The sequence below is a fragment of the Homo sapiens genome, chromosome 11 (genome assembly GCF_000001405.40).
Source record: "Homo sapiens chromosome 11, GRCh38.p14 Primary Assembly".
NCBI classification, from domain to species: domain Eukaryota; kingdom Metazoa; phylum Chordata; class Mammalia; order Primates; family Hominidae; genus Homo; species Homo sapiens.
In genome coordinates, this window is record NC_000011.10 from 108,809,652 (window position 1) to 108,836,700 (window position 27,049).

Sequence of the window (27,049 nt, forward strand, 5' to 3'; positions counted from 1 at the left end):
TAAGGGCTGGAGACACAGACGTGATGAAGTCTGCCTTCATGGAACTCACATTCTAATGCATGTATCCTCCACAGTATTATGAGCCACTGGATAGCAGTTCTTATGTAGCAGTGTCTGGTATGGTGCTTGGCATACATAGTAGTCATCCAAAAAATGAATTAACAAATCTCTTTTGCATCTGTGTGTTCTACCCTTTTGGCTTAGTCTCATCTTTGGTATAGCAGGCATGTCAAAAATTGATAGAGTTTTATACACCAATAATGAACTTTGAAGAAGCGGTAATAAACATGTTTAAAAAAGCTACCATCAACATTATCCTGCAACCCTTCTTTTATATGTGGTTACTGTTAGAGGTTTTTGCAGCTCAGAATATATTGTTTCTTAGGTCATTCATAAATGTTTGAGTGTTCTTCATGTGGAAAGTACTTGTCTGGGAGCGTGAGTTAAGTAAGGCCGAGTTCCATCTGAATAGATGGACAATTTCACTACAAGTATAATATAATAAGTGTTCAAAATTGTATGGGCATGGAGAAGGAGATAGTTAGGACTGGTTATTTGTTTTCCTTCCTAATCGATAAACATCTGTTGTATTTGTAATGCAGTGGAACTTGCAAATTGTGTTAGCCTGAACTCTGGGCCCCAGGGGAGGGGCGGGTAAAGATGATTAGTTTTTACAGTATTCCTTTCGAACCTATTGGGTTTTTTTTAATTAGGTGTTATTTGATCTTATTATGTTTCATGAGAGCAGTGATGACAATCTGTGTGGAGAAGAATAGGAGATGCTGCACCCAATTGTATTTATAGATTATAAATTTGGTTTGGAGGACTAGGGTGTGTGTGTGTGAGAGAGAGAAAGATGCGGGGAAGAGGTTGACAAGTAGTGACAGTGTTGAGAGTGGTGCGAAATTTATTTACAACCTACTGATTGGGTTCACATTTCTAAAATGAGGTTGCTGGATTAAATCGACAAGCTTCATCCAAAGTATAAATGTTTATGTTTCAACGGAACCTGTGGTTTGCTTCGGATTAGTCCCCCAAGTCAGTGATAAGTGCATGTGTGCACACACAAACACACACACAACTAGAAATCCTGGGAATTTTAACTATCTTTTTCTCCAAAAAAACCCAGAAAACTCGTTGAACATAATGTTATAACCTTAGAGAGAGTTGTTTAAAAGTGAGCACCCAGCATGTTGCCTTTTTGGTGAGTAGGAAAGAATCTTCCAAACTCACCACCAACCCGTTTCGCACCTCCCCTAGATACACACCACACAATCACCATTCTTCTTTGCTATATACTTTTTCTCATAGTACTTAAACATTCTTATCATTTTTCCTTGTCTATCTCCAGTGGAATATAAACTCTCCAAGGGAGATGTTTGTTTTGTTTACCTTCCTTAGTGATCCCTGTAGGAGATCACTAGATTCTGTTGAATCAATCATAGCTGGCCACTTGATACACTGTGTGAGTATATATTGACTATCATTTTTTACTCAGCAGTGTACCCAGTACAGTGTGTGTGTATACTGGGGATGACTTTATTGGCTTTGGCTGTATATACATTCAATCATCACCTTATGGAGATAAATGGTATGTATAAAAATTAGGAAATGTGACAAGACCTGTAAAGTTAAGGGCTAAATTATATGGTAGGAATTGGTCCAAGGTCAGCATATTGGAATGGGCAAAAAATGGCTTCATGAAATAGGTGAAACTTGAACTAGACTTCTAAAAGGATCATGGGGCACAGGTAAGGAAGGATACTCCAGGAAAACAGCCTTCATGATACCTCCTCTCTGAACTTTCTGTCATCTTAATTCCATCTCTCAGGATTTATTTTTGAAAAGGAAACAAATTAAAAAGTTATTCACCATCCTCTGCCATGATCTGGCATATAGCACATAATTAAATATTATTTTTTAATGTAACTATTTGTATAATATCTTTTTTTCAAAAAAAATCAGAAAACTTGTTGAACATAATGTTATAACCTTAGACAGATTTGTTTAAAAGTGGTCATCCAACATGCTTGCCTTTTCACGGAGTAGGAAAGAATCTTCCAAACTCTGACTGTGGCTCTATGTCCAGTTATATTTTGTCATTAACTGCCTACCAGTTTCCCATTGCTTAATACTCTAGAAATGACAAGTGATTCTATTGAATTTTGGTTAGTTGGGTCAAATAGATCAAAGGACAATTATAAAAGGGAAACACAGGAAAGGGGAATTAATTATAAATATGGGGGGGGGAAGAGAGCTGAATAATTAGGCATGATAGGCATTAATTATTGTTAGACATTTGTTATATGTATTGCAGTTATACTTATGTGGAAGATCTTGATCTTTTTTTGTTAATGTTCACTTGAATTTTTTTTATCCTGGTACAGTTAGATATAAGCAAGTTACTGTGTTCCTGATTTTCTTCTAGGAAAAGTATTGATAACTTTGCTTTTGATAGCCTGCAACCAGTCTGCTCATTAATTTCCATATAGCTGTTGTTAGAGACTTTGCCCAGCAAACTAAATGCTATTTGTGGAATAGACAACAAAATCAATAACTAAGACATTTTTGGAAAATCTAGTTAACTTCTTGGATTTGTTAAACAAATCCTGAATACACTGAATACTATGCCTTTGAAATAAGCTTAATTTTTGCCACACAGCACCAGTGAATCTTGCTACAATTGATATATGTAGTAAGTTAATTAACTGCCTTTGTTTTCAGTTGACTTTTTTCGTTCTGAATTTTTTTTAATGGTATTATATCTCTCAAAAACGTACAATTGAAGGAGAGTATTAGTATTTCATAGATTTCTGATCAAACAATTAGATATGTCACCTCTCTGCCTGCACTAATTTATAAATATATTTAAGCTATAATAGTAAACACTGAATTGCAATTTTGTACTTCTTAGATATTATTACTCTTTATCAACTTATGCATGTTCTTCTGTAACTGTTGACTTGATTGATTATAGCATGTGCTAAAAGATGTAAAATGGAGATTTCTGAAATTGTAATAATAAAAAAGCCATAAAAAAATGCCATCAGCTGGCTGCGGTGGCTCATGCCTGTAATCCCAGCTCTTTGGGAGGCTGAGGTGGGTGGATCACGTGAAGTCCAGAGTTTGAGACCAGCCTGGCCAACATGGTGAAACCCCGTTTTTACTGAAACTACAAGAATTAGCCGGGCATGGTGGCACATGTCTGTAATCCCAGCTACTCAGGAGGCTGAGGCAGGAGAGTCTCTTGAACCCAGTAGGTGGAGGTTGCAGTGAGCAGAGATGGTGCCACTGCACTCCAGCCTGGATGACAGAGTGACTCCATCTTAAAAAAAAAAAAAAGAACAAACATTTACTTTTATGAACAGATTTGTACCAAGTTGTTCCTAAATTGGTACAGAATTCATGATGCATGTTTTTGAAAACAGAAACAAATACTATTTGTACTTTCTTTCTGATGTTGAAAAAATTTAAGAGCACATATTTCTTTAAGAAAAATACCTATAGAATAAATTCCTAGAAGTGAAATAACTAAGTCAAAGGGTACGTAAATTTTGAATTTCAGTAGATATTGTAAATTGCACTAATTCACATTTCTACTCATAATATCTGATGCCACTTTTTCTGCAAACACAGCATCTTTTCAAATACTTTATCTTTGCTGGTTAGGAAGGAATTCGTATCTTAGTGAAGTTTACCTTTACATGTCTTATTTTATGAGTGAGCTATTTATATTGGCTCTTCTGGGAACTGTCCAATTGGGCTGATGATCTTAATTTTCTTACTCTTTTTATTCACTCTCTCTATTGGGAAAATTTATCTTTTGCTTCCAACCTGATGACATGCAAATAACTTGATTTTGTTTTGTTTGTCTTTTGTTTTTCAGATTGTCATTTGTTTTGGGTCATATTTTTAAACCTTTTATATTGGTGAATTTGCCAGTTTTGTCTTTTATGGGTTCTAAATTTCATGTTAAAGTTGAACAGGGCCTTCACTACTCTAATGTTATAAAAGAATAAACCCTGGGAGAATTCTAGTACTTTTATGGTTTAATATTTTGCGTCTAAGCTTTTGATTCATTTGGAATTCTGTTGCAAGATGTGAAGTGTGGATCCAGCTTTATTTTGTTCTATATAACTACCCAATTATTCCAATATTGCTCATTAGTCAATCTTTTCTACTGATTTAACCTGTCACCTTTATCTGAAAACCTTATGTATTTTGGGTCTGTTTTTGGTCTTTCTGTTTCATTGATCTGTATATGTTTGTTTATAATGTTTAAATATATTAGAGTGTTACTTATTATTTCTTGTCAGAGTTTTCTGAAATTCTGAACTTAAACTGTTTTTATGTTTATTTCTTGACTTGGAGATATCTGGTGGTGTCAATTTGGGCAATCCACTGTAAGGGTTTATTTTATTCTGGAATTTTTTTGTCTCCTTCTCCCTATCCTTTACCTTCCACCCAAAGCTTTATTAGGAAGTATAGGGTAATATGTATTCCAGAAAGGTTACATTTCTCTAGTTACTCAGATGGCATAGACATAGGCTAAGAGATGGTAGGTCTTTGTATTGTAAATGAAACATGGCCTTGTCTAGTTTTAATTTTTTAGATAAAGATTATTTGCAGTCTAAAGGGTGAATTTTTCTTCCCCTTTCTCAGTCTCTATTTGTAACCATGCCATTTTTTTCATTTTTAATTAACATAATTTGTGAAATGTTGATTTTTGCTTTAGGTCCTAAATCAAATGTGATTATTAGTTTATAGCTTTACAACGTAATAAGCCCCAGGTGTAGGGAATTCACTCTCAGCTCTGATCTCCAGCAGTTTTGGATGACAAGCCATCACACCACTATCTGTACCTTTTTTATGCATCATAGATTACCATAGGAGACTGAATGCAATAAAAATGTAAAATGCTTTGTATAAAAATGAATATAGCATCAGAGATTTCCTGCTTCATACAATCTTGAGCTTAAAATCTTGAATCTTAGAGTAACAAAAAAAAACCTCTCAAACTTTTGGAATGACTCTATCTTCAAATATCACTTTAAAAAGAAAAATGATCCTTCGTAATTAAGTTAATGATCATTAGGGGGAAGATTATAATACATCAATATATTTGTTATAGGAATAAGTGAAATCAGCTAATATTTATCTGAATATCCACAATTTACCCATGTTTAGTGCCATTGATTAAATAATCTAGTGAATTATAAATCCCAAGAAACTGACAGTTTAATGATATAGTCTCTGGGAGCATAGATGAGGGCTCATTGCCCAGCTTGTTAGAGATGAGGCAGAAAAGCGGAATCAGGAAAGACTTATGTTATCGACATCAGAGCTAATCTGGAAGTATAAGTAGGAATGTTCTTTATTTTAAAATTTTTATCAGCAATTCTTATCTTATGAATAATAAATGTTGCCATTCATTTACTCTTCTGCTGAAAATTTGAAAAATAAATACATAACAAAGAAAACAAAAATCAAGCATATTCCTGTTATATACTTTGATGTAACATTACCTTTTGGTTTATATACTCCTGGGTCTTTTTTCCCTATGTACACAAACATACAGACTCCTTTTCCCAATACATTTTAAGTTACAGAGCAGACATGATATTATGATTTGTGGCCTTTTTTTCTTTTTTTTTAAATTATCAATACTAGGGAAAGCTGTCAAGTGAGTAAATACAGTCATCCCTTGGCATATGCAGGGGGTTGGTTCCAAATCTGTGCACACTCAAGTTCTGCAGTCCAGTCAGTGCTGAGAAACTGATGTAAGTGAAAGGTTGACCTTCTGTATACACAGGTTTTATATCCTGCAGATTCCGTATGATTTGGTTTGAAACAATCTGTGTATAAGTGGACCCTCAAAAGTCAAAACCATATTGTTCAAGGGTCAACTGTGTACTTGTATAATGTCATAATTAAGAGCTTAAATTTAATGCTATCATGTGTCCCATTTGTATAAATGGATATATAACATTCTATTCAGAGAACCCTTATTAAAATGCTTTGGATTTCTTTTGATTTTTTTTCTAATAAACACAGTGATAAGAATTCTTTATAATCCTTAAATTTCTGGAAAATGTAAAAATTGATGACTAGATATTCATTCTAGTATTTTAAAGTAACCCATTATATAGCTAAATTTTAGACTCAATAACACTAGATTGAAATCTGGACCTTCATCATGAAAGTCAGAGGATGAGGAAGAGAATTCCTTGAATGAGTAACTTAAACAGTTTTCACTGCCTCACCTTAAGTTTTCTTTTGAATCTATTCAGGTCAGGTTTTTGTCCCTGCCAATCTGTTGAAACTTTTCTTGCTATGGTCTGGAACAGTTCCCATTTTGCTAAACTCAAGGATGAACATCTTAACACTCCTAGCAACTTTTTTTTTTTTTGGAATTGCCCTCTTCCCTTAGCTTTTGGCATGCCATACTATTCCTGGATTTGTTCCAGCTTTCACTGGTTGTTCTTTCTTGGTTGTCTTTGCTGGTTCCTCCTCCTTTTCCCATCTTTAAATGATGGGGGAATACCCCCAAGGCTTTGCCTTATATTCTAATCTCCATCTACGTATGCTCCCTAGGCAAATTTAGTAAGACCTTTTCTTTAAAACTCATATGCTAATGAATCCAAATATATGTCCTGAGCCTGTTCTACTATTGTAAACTTCTTTTAACTAGTTGTTTAATATCTCTTGGATATTTAATACCATTTATTCAGTCACTTCGGACTCAGACCAAGAACCCGTGAGTTTTCTCTAAATCTTTTATCTCCCAGATCTACCCCTTTAAGGAGTCTTGTGTACTTCAAAATATATCCAGACTCTACCACATTGTTCACTTACTGCCCTAATTCAAACCCTCTATCTTGTGTGTAGACCAATAAAAATAGCCTTTTTTTTTTTTTTTGAGAGGGAGTCTCTCTCTGGCGCCCAGGCTGGAGTACAGTGGCACGATCTTGGCTCACTGCAACGTCTGCCTCCCAGGTTCAAGTGATTTTCCTGCCTCAGCCTCCCAAGTAGTGGAGATTACAGGTGCCCACCACCAGGCCCGGCTAATTTTTGTGTTTTTTAGTAGAGACAGAGTTTCACCATGTTGGCCAGGCTGGTCTTGAACTCCTGACCTCAGGTGATCCGCTCTCTTTGGCTTCCCAAAGTGCTGGGATTACAGGTGTGAGCCACCACACCCGGCCAATAAAATAACCTTCTAGTTGGTTTTCTTTTTCACTTTCCTTGCTCCTATTAAATCTTCATAGCAGGCAACCCCCACCTTCCAAAGTAAACAAGATTATGTCATGTATCTTGGTCAAAACTTGCACAGTAAAGTCCTCACTTAACATCATAAATGGATTACTGGAAACTTTGACTTTAAGAAAAATGGCATTCTTTATGCCTTAGGAACTGAACTCTTGTTTGTATCAATTAGCCTATGGCAAAATTGGTTTTGTTATATAGTAGTTGTTTCACTTAAATTTGCAGTTTCCAAGAACTTATCAACATAAACAGTGTTAAGTGAGGACTTGCTGTATTCTTTCTTTCATATTCAGGGTAAAATCTACCTCCTGACTCTGTCCTGTGAGGCCTTACATAATCCAGAATCTTCTTGTGTGACTTTTTCTCTTATTGCCTTCCACCCTGCTCACTCTAGTCCAGTCATCCTGAATTTTTTGTTTCTTGAAAACAACAAACTCATTTCCATTTATGTGCCTTTGCACTACTGTTTTCTCCACCTATAACTCTTTATGTAGATCATTGCATGAGTTCCTCCTTCTTTTCTTTTAGATCTTTGCACCTTCTTCAGAAAGGCCTTTCCTATTTTTCTAAAATTGTTACCTTCTGCCCAGTTACTCCCTAGCCCCTTACTCACCTTTGTCTCTAACACTTAAAAACTCCTTGACATACGTGCATATTTGTCTCCTCACTAGAATGCAAACTCTACTGTACCCCAGGTGCCTAGAATGTTACTTACAGTATGGTAGATAGCCAGTGTTTGTTGAATAAATGACCGAGCTTCTTTATTCTTTGTAGTTCGTATTTTATCCCTCCTAATCCTACAAGAAATTTGAAGTAGGCTTAAAAAGTGCTTTTAAATATATTAAAATAGAAAACAGGAGGGCATGCAAAGTACAGATAGAATAGGAATGACTGATGGGAAACTTAATATGCGGCTCATACAAGGTTTTACATAGTTCTTAAATGTGGATCAGGCATTTGCCTCTGAAGTCTTGACTGTGAAAACAAAAAGAACACCTTGTCTATAAGGAGACAACATGCTGCTACTTTGGAGAAGCACAGCTTTTCTTATTTCAACAACTGTCCTGTGAAACGCAAAATAGTGAATTTTATACAGCAGTGTTTTAATACCTGTCTTTAAAGTAAACTGAAGAAACAACGCCACGATATAGCTCAAGGAAAGCAACTCTGTGGAAACTGATTAGATATTCACACACATTCCTATTTCCTCCTGTCAGCGTTCCCTGCCCTCACCAGTGGACATGCATGCTTCTGAGTAAGGTAGAGCGTATTACAACACCATTATCAAGGTGAAGGTCTTTTCTAGTGACAGAACAGTGAGAGGCAGTTTGTTCATTATTCCTAAAATGTGAGGCTCATTCCAAAGCAGGTTGAAAATTAACTGTATAGTGTGCTTTTGTCAAATGAGGCTTCCTGGAGTTTCTCAAATAGCTGACCATAGTAACTATTGTGATCAGGCTATTCTTTGGTAGTTTGTGGTCTTTTTATAGGAAGTTTTGACATTTAGCATCTTAGATTTGGAATTAGCCAAATTATGGGTGAGTTTCATAACATAACTCCAGGAATCTTAATAGAATAGTAGAGTATTAATTGCATTTAATAGAAAATTTTAGTCAACTCAACCTGTTTACTTCATTTGATTGAAGTTGAATGTATTCAAAATTAGTTGAAGAAAATCTTTTATTAGTATCATAATTAAGTTATTTAATGTTTCATTTATTAGTGAGTCAACTGAATCTTTTAAATTATTGTACGGTACAAATAACCAAAGTGCTTGGAGAAGAAACAGTCTAGAATATGCTGTGAATGGTACCGGTTAGGAATAACATACTAACTTGGAAATGACCACACTGAATGCCAAAGATTGATTTTATGTTCCAATGTACCCTTTTTTGGGGGGACTTATCACTTTTAGTCTTGTATCTCAGACATTCTTTTGGTGTACTAGAGAATATATTTGGGAGATGGATGGCAATTATTTTGCATCTTGTTAGTATCTGTTTAAGAAATTCTCAAAGTTTACCATTGTTGGTGTAATTATTCTATTTTCCTAACTTAACGTTGATGGTTTGGGGTTCTGTTGGTGGGAAAAGTGGCTTGGCAGTATGGTGCAATGTTTTTGCAACACTTGAGAGGAGATTGTTTTCATAGAGTTTTTGCTCTTCCTTGTTCCTTCCCTTCTTGTGACTTTGTTTTCAAATTGCCTTTTTTTCATCACTGTAACTGTCTTAGCTCTGTACAGCTGCCCTTTTCCATGTCTGTTTTGTTATATACATGCTATCTTTTGGCCCAGAGTTATCACTGAAGCTTGTCACAGAACTCTTATTACCTTTCCTGTTTTTTCTCCCCAGCTTTATTTTACCTCTACTTGTAATTACTATTGTCTTTTTCCTAGAGTAACAGAAGAAAATGCAATTTGTCTTTACTTTCAGTACCAGCATAGCCCTCTTGAGGGTAATATTAGAACTTGAAGAAAACATTTAGATTAGCATTTTGACCAATATAAATTGCCTATTTCATTTGGAAATGACACATTTTTTCGAAAAAGTAAAAACAGTTTTCCGTTGATATAATTATTTTTAAAATATACAAGAAAAACAGGAATAGGTGTCCCAGTACAACATGTTTTATTTAGTGAATTTTCTGTCAAAGGGTTTGTTCAAGTAGAAACCATATGCCTATTTCTTTTTTTCTTTTTTTTTGAGACGGAGTCTTTCTCTGTCACCCAGGCTGGAGTGCAATGGTGCAATCTCAGCTCACTATAACCTCCGCCTCCCAGGTTCAAGCGATTCTCCTGCCTCAGCCTCCCAAGTAGCTGGGATTACAGGTGCCTGCCACCACGCCCAGCTGATCTTTGTATTTTTAGTAGAGACGAGGTTTCACCATGTTGGTCAGGCTGGTCTCGAACTCCTGACCTCAGGTGATCCACCCGCCTCGGCCTCCCAAAGTGCTGGAGATTACAGGCATGAGCCACCGCGCCCAGCCCCATACGCCTATTTCTGAGGGAGATTGTAGGGTCCAACATTTAGAGAGTAGACTTAATCTTCCTACAAGCAATGTTCCTAAAGTTTATTTCAATCAGTGGAATTGTGGAGGCCTGAGAAGAGTACAGCTTCAAAGCTCAAGAAGATAAATTTTGATGTTTGATAAACCTGAGTTTAGAGCATGCTTCTGTCCTTTTTAGCTGAATAATTATTTCATCATCTGTAAAATGCAGGCAGTTCCTCAAAAGGGTGGTTGTGCCGAGTAAATGAAATATAAAACATCTAGCGTGGTGTTTGGCACATGGCATCTGTTATTAACTACTCTTCACTAAATTCTGAAAGGTTTAGATTTGTCAGGTAGGTCCCATCTGGATTGGCACTTGTCATCAGAGATCCAGAGAAATTCCACAATGACATATGGCATGGATTAAGGAATACACTTTGTTGGGAAAAGGGAATATTTACAAAGCCAGGATCAGGTAGGGGAAGGAATTGATTTCTCTGTCTCCCTCTTATTCCACATAGGAGGTTCTCAGAGTTTTGCCAGTCTGCTAGACACAGCATAGATTTTCATTCCACTTGAGATATCCCTTCCGTTACTATTCTCCCTTCTTTTAGAATAAGTGGCCGGTCAAATGTATCAGTGTGTAATCATACAAACTACTAGGGAACCAGACATTATAGTTGTGGATGCCTGCAGTCATCTGAGAAATTAAGCCGTCAGGCACGTGGAGACTTTGAGGTTCATGGGAAGTTAGGTCTGCCTTGCTAAGGGAGGAAGCCATGGTCCTGTCAGAAGTTGAGCATGGTTTCAGACTCTTTTGCTGGGAAAGACGATGGGAATGGTTCCAGCTCATGGTCTAGGCTGCCCACAGTGACTCCCGGTGTTTTCAGACAGGTCTGCTTCTCACATCACGCTTTATTGCCTAGGGCCTGTGAATCAGTTTTCCCAACAAATAAGTGTCAAGTTAAATGTGAAATATGTTTATTTCTATGCTATTTAAGCAAACTGATATCAGAATAAGTAACAGTAGAATGCATGTCAGAGTCTTTGAGTGTTACTCTCAAAGAAAATTGATCTTGATTAGCCCAAGCTCAACTTAGTTCCACAAATAATTATTGATTTGTTTAAGCGTGATGTATGTGCTTGCTCAAGGAATTAGAAGATGAGTATGACAAAGCTCATTCCCTCAGGGAGTTGAGTGTTTCAGAGGGATGAAGTAAAAGAAGATTTTAAAACTACAAGTAGAGTGTAAGAAGTATCACGAGAAACATCAACAAAGGGCTGAGGATAGAAGGTGATAAGTCTCAAGTATCTCAAGATATTCAGCAGTGAATCTTAACATAAATTTGCTTTTAGGGGAAGAATTTCAAGCATATTGATAGGTCTTAAATTTTCTAGTCTCTCTGGGATAGTAGGAAGGAGAATGATTTTTAAAAAGTTGATTATGTAGCATGGAGTTTGGGGACTAGTAAAAATTTTATTGAAATTATTTGGGAATTGTTTTACAGTTGTTTTTAGTGGAGGTTGTATTTCTGAAAATATTGCATTTTAGTGTGATGATTTACTAAAGAAGTAGCAGGGACTTATTCTAAGGTAGGAGATAGAAAAACTAATAAGTAAAAATCTGCTAGCAACTTTAAATGGCTGTCAAACTTTTTTTAATGATTAAGTGCTAATGGGGGCAGATGGAAATTGTAAAGCAGTGCAGAGCATTGAGGTATAGAGTTTTTTTCTGTCAGTTGCTCTACTTTTGAAAGAGAAGAAATTAGAGGTCAAATTTAGTCATTTCTATGGTCCTTTTATGAACGTAAGAAAGCGCTTTTTTAAAAAAATGTGAGAATTGTTAAATAATCTTTATTTGATATTACACATAAACCACCCTAAAATGCCTTTCAGTAAGTAAAAGGAACCATTTTAGATAAAAGGAATCTAATTAGATTGGCATAGTTAAGGCCAAAAATATAAAGTAGACATTGCCACCTTATCTTCAACTCTTGCCTTTAAGAGGCAAGTGAACATGAAACACGGATGAATCTTGCTTGGTTCTGAGACAGTGTGAAGGAATTTCACCAGTATTTCAATATATTCACATAACCAGTTATATAAATCTAAAAATAAAACCAATTTCCATTAAGTTTTAAGATGGCATTCACCATCTTTGTGAAAAGTTGATGAAATCGAATCATATCTTTAGAAGGAGTAAACAGTGTTAGCATTTACTGAATTGGAATTGCTATTAAAATTCAAAAAAACAAACATATTCATCTAACCACAGGCCAGTCTTAGTTTTAAAATCAGGACTGCCCAACAAAATATTCTGTCATTCATTGATGATCTGAATTCTGGTATATGAGATCTATTAAATTATGGTACACATAAAAAAGTCATGAGACATTTCTGTTTTGTAATAAATAAGGCAGTGGCCAGTTATTACTGATGAGTAGCGTTTTTGAGATTAGCTATCAAGTCTGCCCTTTCTGCCTTCTTCTTAATGCTGGCAAAGATCATTTTTGTTCCAGGGATGTTCTTCTTGGGAGTCTCCAAATAGTGCATCAGTGTATCCTTTCCCCAGGTGATGCCTTTGTTCTTATTGGTGTCTGTGTAAGAGTATCCAACGGCCTCACCTGTCTCCTGCCTGGAGAGACTATGGAGATTAGGCCCAGTCTTGTGCTGGCCTCCCTTTTGCATTGTGTGGCACTGGGCACACTTCTGAACAAAAATCTTCTTGCCTTTCTCAGCAACACCCATATTTAATTCTCTTCCATCACTGGTGCTACGAAGGTTCCCTCTCTGAAGCTGGATGTCCCGCTCTTTTGAAAATTACACTTCTAAAAATGAATTCCTTCAAGGATTCTTTTCATTTTAAAGAGAACATTTGCTGTCAATCCACTCTTCTCATTTTATGAGGTCTCTCAGCATTGCTTAGGAAAATTATGATTCACAGAGGAAGGTCTAGCACTAAGATGTTTCCATTGGAGATACTATTATATATTGCTTCTCGGCTATTTGGCTAAGATGAAATATAAGATAGATATGGTGTCAAGGTAGGAGCACAGACTAGGTTTTTGGAGGGTTTGGAGTTCCAGCCCTGACTTTGCTGATACTGTCTATGTGATCTCGAAATTGTCTCTTGACTTTGGGAGTGAGTAGGTGATGTTTCTCTAGGTGATCCTGGAGGGTCCTTTTACCCTTCCAAGTTCTGTAATAATTCCAGTGTTTTTTTAAAATCACCACTATATGGCTTTGCACACCACAGTTTTACAAATGGTATGTATAAGAATATCCAATTTTGAATAATATTGGACATCATCCTGGCACATTTTGTCGAAACGTAGTACACATAGGCTAGCCTTTGACTTTTCATTTGGTACTTTCTGCTTAGCTAATATTTATATACAAGGTAGAACTTGGAAACTTTACTGCACATGGTAGTTGTAAACGTAGCTTGGTTGTGGTAGTGATGCTTGTTTCACTTTCTGTTAACATACAGCCCATGTATGTATTGGGATTTAATAATGTAAGCCATTATAGAAAAATGTCGGATGTAACAGTGATCTCCTCTTGGGCGGCTAAGTGGACAGCTTTAACATCTCTTAAATGTCTTAAAATATTGTGTCAAAAATGGTACAAAAAATGGTAACCAGGTACCAAACCCAGTTTGAATTTAGCATATATCTTTCTTCCATTATTGTAGTTCTTTGTGAAGGCTTTAAATCATAGAGAGATTCTCTCTCTATGCACATGCATGTGTGTGTTTTTGTTTGCTTGTAAAAATTGGTGGTTCACTGAATAGCTAGTGTTATATGGCATTTGTTTGTTTAGACTTTAATCATGAATGAATTTACAGAAACTCTGCTTTAAGCCGCACTAACCAGGCTGTCAAGTAATTTGCTTTTCTTATAGGTATTGGAGCCAACTGTGGAATTCTCAGTCAAATGTACAATGAAACATCTTGAATGTTATTTTGATGCTCTCCCATTTTGTTCAAACAAATTCTGATTAAATCTAGCTACTGGCACATTCTTGCTGAGTCTCTGGTATCACTTGGAAGGAAGGTAGTAGAGGTGTGGATCGCTGAGATACTCCCCTAAGAGAAGTATATCATAGTGTCGTATTGTTTGAAATAGTTTCGTGATTTCTGTCCCAGGATTTTTTTTTGAAACAGGGTCTTGCTCTGTGTCCCAGGCTGGAGTGCAATGGCGCAATCTTGGCTCACTGCAACCTCTGCCTGCCAGGTTCAAGCGATTCTCCTGCCTCAGCCTCCCCAGTAGCTGGGATTGCAGGTGCTCACCACCACGCATGGCTAATTTTTGTGTCTTTAGTAGAGATGGGGTTTCACTATGTTGGCCAGGCTCATCTCGAACTCGTGACCTCAAGCGATCCACCTACCTTGGCCTCGCAAAGTGGCATGAGCCACCGCACCTGTCCTGGGACTTTTAACTTAGCTCATTATCACCTTGTTGCCTCCCCTATGTGATCAGTTTCCCTTAACCCTGTTAGCCAAATGACCATGTGACACAAGTTATCTTTACTTTTAATGTTACTGCTTTTTATTTTTTATTTTTATTTTTTTGCTATGTAGCATATAAAATTTCTGAGTTCTAGAAGAATTCCAAAAGCTGTAGAGATGAGAAATTGATATAGCCAATTTGGACACAAGTTAAAAATGAAATCAATACTGTCATTTTTTTGGAAATCTAAAAAGAGAGGGAAAAATGTATCAGGCACCGTTTCTCTAAATTGCTTCCAGCTGCTTGCTTCCTAATATAGAAATATTTATTAAAAGTAGCAGGTTAAAAATTGGATTCCTACAGCAAAATATGAGTGGTTTCATAATTTTGTTAAACAGCAGGAAATAACTGAGATTTTTGTCACTATAGTGGCTTTGTTTTTTTCGAGGGTCATGGTGTAGAGCAAATACATATTTCCCAGCCAGGCGAACAGAACAGTAAATGGCCTGAACAATTTAAACAAACCAAGGAAAATGTCCTAAGGTAGTAAATAGGGAATTATGGGATTTTCCCTTAACTATTGTAACACTATAAATGTTCAAAGAGGTAGAAGGAACCATTTAAGACAATAAATAAATGAACATGATCATAAAACTTAGTTGGGAATGAGGCTTAAGTAAGGAAAATGGCATGAAAAGAAAGTCAGATAGGGGTTGGGTGAAGAACAGAAATTTACATGTTATCTAGACTAATTGCAGGCACAGTGAAAGATTTAAATAATTATTAGGCCAAAATGCTATAAAGAGGTGTCTTAAAATTAAGAAACTTATGTTAATTCTAACAAGAAATTGAGGAAAGGAAGACAAATATGTTGTAGGTGTTGGAATGAGGGCTTGAGGGAATGCATATCTGGAAAATGAGGGAAACAGTGGAGGGGAATAGAAACTGTGTAGGGGATATATATGAAAGTTGTTTTTCTTAAGATATTTAATTAAGGTGACAGGTACGCATGCTCGGGAAGTTAAAAAGCAATTTCTGGAAAGTGTTCCAAGTTAAACCTGAAGGAGGCACCAGAAATCCTGAAGGAGGAATGTAGCAATCAAAAACATTGTGTAGAATGTTCGTATTGGCAGTATCAATAGAGGTTTTGCCTTATGGTCCTCCTTAACCAGAAGGAAGTTTGAACACAGCTGAGATCACTGCATATCTATGTAGTATTGGTCTGGGGTGGGGAAGAAACAAGCAAGACATAATCATCCATTCTCATTCATGTTCACCTATTAAGATCACTTAAAAATGAATCATGGTTATTTCATAGTAAATAGTTGTCATTGTTGCTCAATATATCATTGTATTCATTGACCATTTTCATCACATTATAGATTAGGATTACAATTTATAAACTACAAGGAAAATAGTAGTGCATGGCCTTATTAATCATACAGAAAAAAGATTAACATTTACTGGTAGTTTGTGTCTTAATATAATAAGGACTAATCAAGCCTTGACAAATGAGTAACTTTGATAGGAAATGTAGGCAGTCATCTGTCGGACTTTGGAATAAATATGAATTATCTATATGATATACACATTTGGAAGGGTTTCTAAATGATTTTCTAGATATAATTCATGAAGTGTCAAGATAAAGAGTCAAGTATTTCATAAAAATTAATTTCATAATAGCTGTGATTCTTATCAGAAGAGAATTAGGGTTGGGGTCTTATAGTTTGAAATAGTACATTTAGTATTTAAAAAGGTTTTTTGATGCGAAAACAATTATTTTTAAAATGAAGCTATGTATAAAGTCTGAAAATCTTTTTTTTAAATTGGTACATTTATTAAAAACATAGACTAATGGTCTTATGCTTAAATGTCTTTGTGGTTGTGTGCTGACTTTCATCCAGTGTAACTAAGGGACTGTTCACAAATACACTCTGGATAGAAGTATAATAATAAACAGAAATGGCTGTCATAGAGACATAGTTCCGTTACAATTAATACTTGCCAGAAAATGGAGCTTGACATTGTTTACTATTATACTAACATTCACAAAAGGCCGGATATCACAGGCATAAGGGCACACCATGACCATGAGACATCCTTTCATACTTCCCAAATAGTTTTATATTTTAGCTATGGACCTCAGTTACCAGAGCCAAACTTGTTCTTAACAAGTAGAATTTTTATGTCCATTCAGTCGAAGAGTGTCTTACACCTTTCTGGGTCTCTTTATTTGCAGATAGGAGTAGAAACTGTAACCAACTTCTTCGCATCTTGCAGTCACATGTGATGCCCAATTTTCATATGCTGCCCAATTAGCGGTGACTTGCAGCAGGGCCACAAAGATGAGGAAGTTCTGTATGGAGGTGATCACATCCGCATGCATCTTCCATTTTGTGTCCTCTGGGTCCAACCTCATTGAGAGGCCCTTGATCCAGAACACTGAAGCTCTAATTCATTGGCTTTCAGCTGCCATGCTCTGCTCTCTGAAAATCTTTCTTAATGGGTCATGGATTTAAAGTTGAAAAAAAGCTATGGGAGTTTCTCAAATTAGCAATTCTCAAACATTCTTAAATTAATAGAAATTCGAAAGGCAAATATTGAGTCAAATTATGATGCTACAATCTTCTAAGGCAGTTTGAGCAGAAATGAAACTATGCATTGTAGAATATGAACAGGGTCAAATACTTTGAAGTTATGTAACTTTGAACAAACTGCTAAATTAATCTAAGCTTTAGTTTTCTAATTAAAAATTTGTAGGAACAAGATTTGACTCACAATTGTTCTGAACATTAAATGAGGTAGTCCATATGTAGTTTATTCACTAATTCTTCTTTCAATCATTATTGAATATTTCCTATATACTAGCCTATCTGTCATACATTGGGGATACAGATAGAATAAAAATTGTCTTAACTCTCATGGGAGTTACAGTCTATTAGGAAAAAGCACAGAAGTAAACAAGTGATTACAATAGGGCTTACTATAATGGGGATGAGAGTGAATGCAGAGTCTGTGTAACAGGCTAATGTAATAGCCATTGACTCAAGAAATTACAGTAACAGAGTTGGGTGGTGGAGGCAGATCTGATTTTCATTTTTCTCTTAATTTACGCATTCCCAAACTTATGCATATGGTCAAGGTTTACTATAGTGTGCTTTCTATTAAACCTTTAAACATAAGATTGGTAAATATGGATATTTTTTAGAAGAAAAATCCTACGAGACTTCTTAAACGATTATAAATTATTTCCATAATTCATAATTTATAAGCGTTGTTTCCTATAATTTTAGTTGATTTCTATTGTGGGCCTTTAATCCTCCTTGTATCTATTGTACCCTTCCCTTGCATTGCCCACCCTGCTCCCCATCCTCCAGCCGAAACTTCTTCTCCTTTAGTCTTGTGTAATTTTAGGACTGTTGCTATAGCCGGTATGTTTGTCTTAGCAAATTAATACTTGTGTAGGAATTCTGAAAAGACAAACTTTGTTCCTGTAATAACATTTTAAGTTGATGCCATATTTTCATTGGCTCTTAAATTTTAAAATTTCATCTTTATTTGTGGTAGAAGACACATAACATAAAATCTACTATTTTAACCATTTTAAAATGTGCAGTTCAGTAGTGTTAAGTGCATTCACATTGATGTACAACCAATCTCCAGAACTTTTCATTTTTCAGATCTGAAACTCTATACTTGTTATGTGGGTCTTAATTTTAAGACTACAGTTCTTACAAAAATTTCACAAACATAATATATTTGCTACTTGCTGGGGGTGGTATTAAGTTTATTATTTGTTTTTAATTTTTTTTTATTTCAACAGGTTTTTGGTGAACAGGCAGTGTTTATTTACATGAATAGGTTCTTTAGTGGTGCCTTCTGAGATTCTGGTGTACCCATCACTGAACAGTGTACACTGTACCCAATGTGTAGTCTTCTCCCTTGCCATCCCCAACCCTTTCCCCCGAGTCTCCAAAGTCCAATGTATAATTCTTAGGCCTTTGTGTCCTTATAAGTTAGCTCTCACATATGAGTGAGAACATTTGATGTTTGGTTTTCCATTACTGACTTACTTTACTTAGAATAATAATCTCCAGTTCCATCCAGGTTGCTGTGAATGCCATTATTTCATTCCTTTTTACGGCTGAATAGTATTCCATTTCTTTATCCACATTTTCTTTTTTTTTGTTTGTTTTTTGTTTTTTGAGACCGAAAAAAATATTTTTCATTTTTCAGATCTGAAACTCTATACCTGTTAGGTGGGTCTTAATTTTAAGACTACAGTTTAATTTTAAGACTATAGCTCCGTCGCCCAGGCTGGAGTGCAGTGGCACAATCCTGGCTCACTGCAACCTCTGCCTCTGGGCTCAAGCAATTCTCTTGTCTCAGCCTCCTGAGTAGCTGGGACTACAGGTGCCTGTCACTATGCCTGGCTAATTTTTGTATTTTTAGTAGAGACGAGGTTTCACCTTGTTGGTCAGGCTGGTCTTGAACTCCCGACGTCAGGTGATCCACCTGCCTTGGCCTCCCAAAGTGCTGGGATTATAGGTGTGAGCCACTGCAGCCTCCCAAAGTGCTGGGATTACAGGCATGAGCCACTGTGCCTGGCCTATCCACATTTCTTTATCCACTCATTGATTGATGGGCGTTTGGGTTGGTTCCATATTTTTGCAGTTGCAAATTGTGCTGCTATAAGCATGAGTATGCAAGTACCTTTTTCATATAATGACTTCTTTTCCTCTGGGTAGATACCTAATAGTGGGATGTCTGGATCAAAAGTACATCAAATGGATCTACTTTTAATTCTTTAAGGAATCTCCACACTGTTTTCTGTAGTGGTTGTACTAGTTTACATTCCCACCAACACTGTAAAAGTGTTCTCTTTTCACTGCATCCATGCCAACATCTATTATTTTTTATTTTTTGATTATGGCCATTGCTGCAGGAGTGAGGTGGTATTGCATTGTGGTTTTGATTTGGATTTCTCTGATAACTAGTGATGCTGAGCATTTTTCCACATGCTTATTGGCCATTTGTATGTCTTCTTTTGAGAATTAGCTATTCATGTCCTTAACTTTTTGATGGAATTTTTTTTTCTTGCCGATTTGTTTGAATTCTTTGTAGATTCTGGATATTAGGCTTTGTTAGATGTATAGATTGTGAAGATTTTCTCCCACTCTGTGGGTTGTCTGTTAACTCTGCTGATTTCTTTTGCTGTGCAGAAGCTTTTTAGCTTTAATTAAGTCCCATCTATTTATCTTTGTTTTTGCTGCATTTGCTTTTGGTTGGTCATAAAGTCTTTGCCTAAGCCAAGTCTAGAAGGGTTTTTCCGATGTTATCTTCTAGAATCTTTATGGTTTCAGATCGTATTTAAGTCTTTGATCCATCTTGAGTTGATTTTTGTGTAAGGTGAGAGATGAGGATCCAGTTTCATTCTCCTACATGTGGCTTGCCAGTTATACCAGCACTATTTGTCGAATAGTGTGTGCTTTCCTCACTTTATGTTTGTTATCTTTGTAAGCACTTGGCTTTATTTCTGGGTTCTCTATTCTGTTTAATTGGTCTATGTGCCTATTTTTATACCAGTACCATGCTGTTTTGGTGAATATGGCCTTATAGTATAGTTTGAAGTTGGATAATGTGATGCCTCCAGACCTGTTCTTTTTACTTAGTCTTGCTCTGGCCACACAGGATCGTTTTTGGTTCCATATTAATTTCAGGATTGTTTTTTCTAGTTCCATGAAGAATTATGGTGGTATTTTGATGGGAGTTGCATTGAATTTGTAGATTGCTTTTGACAGTATGGTCATTTAAAAATATTGATTCTACCCATTTATGGGCATGGGATATGTTTCCATTTGTGTCATCTGTGATTTCTTTCAGCAGCAGTGTTTTGTAGTTTTCCTTGTGGTTTTTCACATCCTTGTTTAGGTATATTTCTAAGTATTTTACGTTTTTTTGCAGCTATTCTGAAAGAGGTTGAGTTCTTGATTTGATTCTCAGCTTGGTCACTGTTGGTGTATAGCAGTGCTACTTTAATTTTGTATCCTGAAAGTTTGCTGAATTCATTTACCGGTTCTGGGAGCTTTTTGGATGAGTCTTTAGTGTTTTCTAGTTATACAATCATATCATCAGCAAACAGCGACAGTTTGATTTACTCTTTACTGATTTGGTTTCCCTTTATTTCTTTCTCTTGTCTCATTGCTCTGGCTAAGACTTCTAGTACTGTGTTGAATAGAAGTGGTAAAAGTGGGCATCCTTGTCTTGTTCCAGTTCTCAGGGGGGGAATGCTTTCAACTTTCTATGTTTAGTATAATGTTAGTTGTGGGTTTGTTGTAGATGGCTTTTATTACATAGATTGGCTATGTCCCTTCTTTGCTAACTGTGCTTAGGATTTTCATCATAAAGGGGTGATGGATTTTGTCAAATGCTTTTTCTGCATCTATTGAGATAATCATGTGATTTTTGTTTTTGATTCTATTTATAGTTTATTACAAAAAGATTTTGTAGATGGCTTTAAAACAAAATATCAAATAGTGTGTTCTTAATTTATACCATAAAGTTAGAGAATATTTGAATTACTGTAATTCATTTGATTTAGGGTGACTGAGGCATTATACTTTGATAGCAGCTGGGCTTGCTTTTTCTTTTTTAAATCATAAACAAGTTCTATTAGAGTTTGGTTATTTAGCCAATAGAAATGTGTATAGTTAAATATGTTTGGACTTTGGGGAAACAGTGTTTATCAATCTTAAGAAATACTCTTATCGGGCTGGGCATGGTGGCTTACGCCTGTAATCCCAGCACTTTGGGAGTCTGAGGTGGGTGGATCACGAGGTCAAGAGATTGAGACCATCCTGGCCAACATGGTGAAACCCCATCTCTACAAAAAATATAAAAATTAGCCAGGCGTGGTGGCAGGCACCTGTAGTCCCAGCTATTCGTGAGGCTGAGGCAGGAGAATCGCTTGAACCCAGGAAGCGGAGGTTGCAGTGAGCTGAGATCGAGCCACTGCACTCTTCCCTGGCGCCACTGCACCCCAGCCTGGTGACAGAGCGAGACTGTCTCAAAAAAAAAAAAAAAAAAAAAAAAGAAATGCTCTTATCTTTCATAGGAGTGGCTTCAGCTATAATAGGTAATCTTAAAGATTTTCTCCAGTGTTGACTCTTCTTTATTTTGTTGGTTTACTTCACTTTTAGATAAAATGGTTTTCATTATAAATTATTAGTTGGCCCAAATGGGAGCTACTTTAAGGAAACATAAAAATCTGATTTCTTTGGACTGTCTTTAATTCTAACTTTTATTTTCCTGTGATTTTTGCTTTTCATTTAAAATATCATTTTTTAACAATAGTTTTATTTTCTTTTGTAGGATATGTAGTAGTAATGCTTATATTAGTTTTTTTCATTGATTATATTTTGAATTTTCTTGTAGCCAATGTTAGCTAACATGGTCCTTATGATAAGAACCATTATTGGTTTTGTGACTGGTGGTGGCAGCAGTTCTTTTATCTTCCAGATTATTTCCAGTAACTTTCTACACCTATCATAGGACACTGAGAGTGACTACCAATTTTGTATTTTATGATACTTTCCTTTTAGCTTTTTAAAGTCTAGCATACGTGTTGTAGAAGAGGTGCAAATAGAAATGAAAGTCATATTTTGATGTTTTACATATTGTCAGCTAATCTTTCATTGTATTTCTTAGGGCTGCTATAAATTTCATTCTTGTACCAATAATACAAAATCTTGTCAAAAAATATAACTCCTATCTAATAATAGATATATTTTATATTTTTTGTTAATGAATTGAAGTATAAAAAGTAATAACACTCTATTTCTTGTCCAAGAGTCATTTTTTTAAAAATTCTAAAAAAGTAAAATCTGCACTTTAAGAAGTTAAATTTAGTTTTTAAAAATCTTCTAGTTGGAAAACTAAAGTTTGGTACACACCCAGAAAACATTTACTAAAATTGATTACATAAATTAAAAACTTCATCTTCACAAAAACCAAATCATAGCGAAATAACAAGATTACCTTGTATGGCAAAAGTCTAAATATAAATAATGAGATGTGGAAAACTACTGAAGCATTGTTAACAAATGAAGAGATTTCACAACTTGATAAATTAAATGCCAGGAATTCATTAGAAATACTGGCAGATAATACAAATGGTGCATAGAAAAATAATGCCTTTGAAAAGATGTTCTGTCATACGTAAAATAATACAACTGCAACTTAAAACTTCCCCGAGGTACTCTGTTTCACCTAGTTGATTGGCAACATAAAGCCTAATAATATACTTAGCTGCAGATGCAGTAAATCAATTCCTTATAAATCTTTGGTGGGAATATAAGTTTGTATAACTTTGGGAGGATTATTTGGAAATATATTTCAAAATTTAACTATACATACTCTTTGAGCACTTTCACTTTTAGAAACTTAACCTGGATATATAAAAGCACATGTGTATGAATAGATATAATCAAGGCTTTTAATTGCTGGAGGTAACTCTTTTAGTAACTTCATGTTTTTCCTGTGTACTTGAATATGAATGGAATCTCTCTGGAAGGATACAGAAGCTGCTAACAGCACCTGATCCTTAGGAGAGAAACCGAGGTTGCTGAAGAGGACATGAAAAACAACCTTTTAACTTAAGTACAATTTACAGAATACATGTGCATGTATTACCTGCTAAAGTTAATATTAAAAAGAATGACGTGGAACTAAGACTCTCTTGTCAGCCATGTGTAAAATACACCATCAGTGGACAGCACAGGTGTTTAGCACATCACTGATGTGCTGGTGATGCCACAGTGTGTTAGCGTTTGCCACTCAATTCAAACATCTCTCCCTCAAAAGGAAGTTCCTTGACATGCTCTTCTCACCCCTGACTACCTAGGACAGTCATATTCATTTATTCTGTGTATTTTTTCTAAGATTATATATATAATTAATGTTTTGTTCTAGTTGTTTCATATCTTTTTCCATAGATAGAGTTGGGCTCTGTGAAGGCTGGGAGTCCACCCCTCTTGCACTGCTGCGTCCTCACTATGTAGTATGATGCCTTGGATGGCGCTGACATTTGCAGCATCTTTGAATGAGTGAAGAATAATTCTAGAGTATCAGACAAAGCCAGAGCCTAACAGGAAAATATGATAAGCCTCTTCTCACCCATGTGGGCATTTCTGTTCCTTCTAACAGTGGCTTCCCTAAAACAAATAAAAAGTTTTACTTCTTCAGGGGGGCAGGACACAGAACTCTTTCAGAAACCAATATAAACCATAAAAGGCAGAGATGCAAATACCTCTACATTTTGTCATGTAATTTTAGTGGCTTCATGGATTTCCCTAAAGCTCTTCAACTTGACCACCTCACTTAAGGATCCACTCTGCAGGATTGTTTTTTTTGACCTTTATTCCACTGACAATTTTTGGTTTCATTTTTCTGATTTTTCCCCCTTCTTTCTAGACTGGGCTATTGTGTTTTATGAACATTTTCAAATGTACAGAAAAGTAGTAAGAAGTATACTTTTGGACACCCAAACGCCCAACATTCCACCATTCATATTCTACAGTTAACCTTTTACTGTATTTCTCTCTGTCTTTCTTTGCTTTTTTGAAACAGTATCTTGCTCTTTGATCCAAGCTAGATTGCAGTGGAGTGATCACAGCTCACTGTAGTCTTGACCTCCTGGGCTGAAGTGATCCTCCCACCTCAGCCTCTTGAGTAGCTAAGACTACAGGCCTGTGCCACCAAGCCTGGCTAATTTTTTTTTTTTTTTTTTTAATTTTTAGTAGAGACTGAGTGTCACCAAGTTGCCCAGGCTGGTCGTGAACTCCTGGGCCCAAGAGATTCTCCTGCCTTGGCCTCCCCAAATGCTGGTTACAGGCATGAGGCACCTACCTACCATATTTTCTTTATCACATAACTATCCATCTATCTCTCCATCCTTTTTTATTTAGTGCATTTGAGTAAGTTGCCAATATCATTACACTTTCCTCCATATACTTCAGCTTGTATGGCATTAACTACAGTTCAATATTGTTTATAGGACTCTTTTTTGAGACAGAAATTTATATACAATGAAATGCACAAATCTTACATGTAACATTTGATGAATTTTGACAAATACATACACCTGTGTAACTCAAACTTATCAAGATCTAGACCACTGCCATGACCCCAGAAGGTTTACTCATGTTCTTTCCTAGTACTTTTTGTTTACTGGTTTATGTGATTATAATTTACTATGTTACATTTATATTACAGTGATCCCTTAAGTTTATACTGTCTGATCAGCATTGCTTCTGTCTTTAGATGAGGTCTGATGGAGATCCAAGGTCCTTAAGAATTGTCCTAGCCAGATCGAGACCATCCTGGCTAACACAGTGAAACCCTGTCTCTACTAAAAATACAAAAAAATTAGCCGGGCGTGGTGGCGGGCGCCTGTAGTCCCAGCTACTCCGGAGGCTGAGGCAGGAGAATGATGTGAACCCGGGAGGTGGAGCTTGCAGTGAGCCGAGATCGCGCCACTGCACTCCAGCCTGGGCGACTGAGCAAGACTCCATCTCAAAAAAAAAAAAAAAAAAAAAAGAATTGTCTTAGCCCTAAAACAATTAAGATGTAGTAGGAGTCAGTAACAAAGTCACCAGCCCTGGTGGTTGTGTTGATGGTGGTCTCTAAGCCTTTGTGAGGAAAAGGAGGTGTAGGAATACTGACGAGGCTGACAGAAGTGGGGGTCTTATTAATCCCTTGTGTTCACAGGGGTCATACAGGTTATTTTTTAGGTGAACAGGTTTACTGCCACTGTATTTTTTTCCATTTTAGATGTTTTACCACCGCACAGCTTACTCAGTTACTCTCTGAAGTGAGATAAGGAAATGAGGATTATAGTAACTGAGGAAGAACAATAGTCACACATCTTAGAATAAGCATAGTGGTGGAGAGAGGGTAGGCACAGCAGTTTAGAGCCTTTTGCCACCAGTTGGTGATATTTGTGGAGTCACGGACCCCTGGGAGGTGGAGGAAGTGGAGAATGTCCAGTGGGAAGAAGAAATCTAAAACTTAATCTGTTGTCGTAGAAGTCTTGTGATGTGTATATAGTGATTATATTACCGGAAGGAGGGCCTTGAGTGAGTTGTCCAGGTTCTTGGCATTTTGAACAAAGAATTGGACAAAACGCACAAAATAACAAATGAATGAAACACAGGAAAGAAGCAGCGAAAGCAATAATTTATTAAGGCTAGAAAGCACTCCACAGGGTGGAAGTGGGCTCGAGCCAGTGGCTCAAGGGCCCGTTACAAAGTTTTCTGGGTTTTAAGTACTTCTTTTGAGGTGCCTATCAGTTAGCCCTTATCTGGATGAAGGATTTGGTCCGTGCCTAATTAAAGGCTGAGGTGAATTGGCACCCTGTGCAGATGAAGGGATAGTCCCTGCTTGGCCAATCCAGGGTACTTTTCCTTTCCATTTGAGGCGTGGTGGGGGGTGGGGGGATTGTAGGGAGAGTAGCCTTTGATCGTTTGTTACTCCATGTTGGGAGATGGGGGTTTTCCTTTGGTTTAGCTTTAGGAAGTTTCAGAAAGTTTGTGTTAATTGGCCTTACGGTCCCCGCCCCCAGACCCAGGTGTTTTCCTTTTGATCCAGGTTTAGGAAGTAGCAGAATTGGTCTCAGGTTCCCTGCCTCCAGACCTTGGTGTTTTTCTTGATTCAGCAGGAATTAGCCTTAAGTTTCCTGCCTCCAGACCCTATTCTCCAGCCTCAATTATAGCATATTAAATGTCTCTGATATAATAAAAGTTACCTCAGAGGCAATTAATCTTTTCATTAGCTTTATATGGGTTGGAGATGGTAGTAACTTCTTAAATATGACATAATTTGTGGTCTGAGAAATAAATGTAACTAGATACTATAGCTTTCATGTTGAATCGGAAATACAAAGTCAGTGTTTTAGTAATACCCACATAGTACAACCATCATTGTCAAAACAACTTTCTTGTAGTTAAATCATAATATTATTGCAGATGCACTAGCTATTTTCATAACCGTGACCATTATCTAAAAATATAATACATTGATAACTTGGCACAAGTCTTTATAGTAGGTTTGTTATTTTTAATTGCATGGTGGTTTTTTTGCTTATTTATTTATTGAGACAGAGTCTTGTTCTTTTGCCTAGGCTGGAGTGCACTGGCACAATCTCAGGTCACTGCAACCTCCGCCTGTCAGGTTTAAGCGATTGTCATGCCTCAGCCTCCTGAGTAGCTGGGATTACAGGGGTGCGCCACTATGCCCAGCTAATTTTTTTATATTTTTAGTAGATTCGGGGTTTTGCTGTGTTGGCTGGG

General features: G+C 36.4%; 1 protein-coding gene and 1 pseudogene across 1 annotated transcript in view, besides 1 other annotated feature; one reads left to right on the forward strand and one right to left on the reverse strand.

The window, feature by feature from the left end:
• DDX10 (DEAD-box helicase 10) overlaps nt 1-27,049 on the forward strand; it is a 275,859-nt gene that overhangs the window by 144,583 nt on the left and 104,227 nt on the right. The gene's annotated exons all lie outside the window — the stretch shown is intronic.
• On the reverse strand, nt 12,482-13,058 carry CYCSP29 (CYCS pseudogene 29; annotated as a pseudogene).
• Nucleotides 25,707-26,457: an enhancer, noted in NCBI's record as "OCT4-NANOG hESC enhancer chr11:108706085-108706835 (GRCh37/hg19 assembly coordinates)". NCBI's record gives its function as "activates a minimal SCP1, AML or CMV promoter by ChIP-STARR-seq in naive H9 embryonic stem cells {active_cell/tissue: H9 hESC(naive)}" and the evidence as "EXISTENCE:reporter gene assay evidence [ECO:0000049][PMID:30033119]".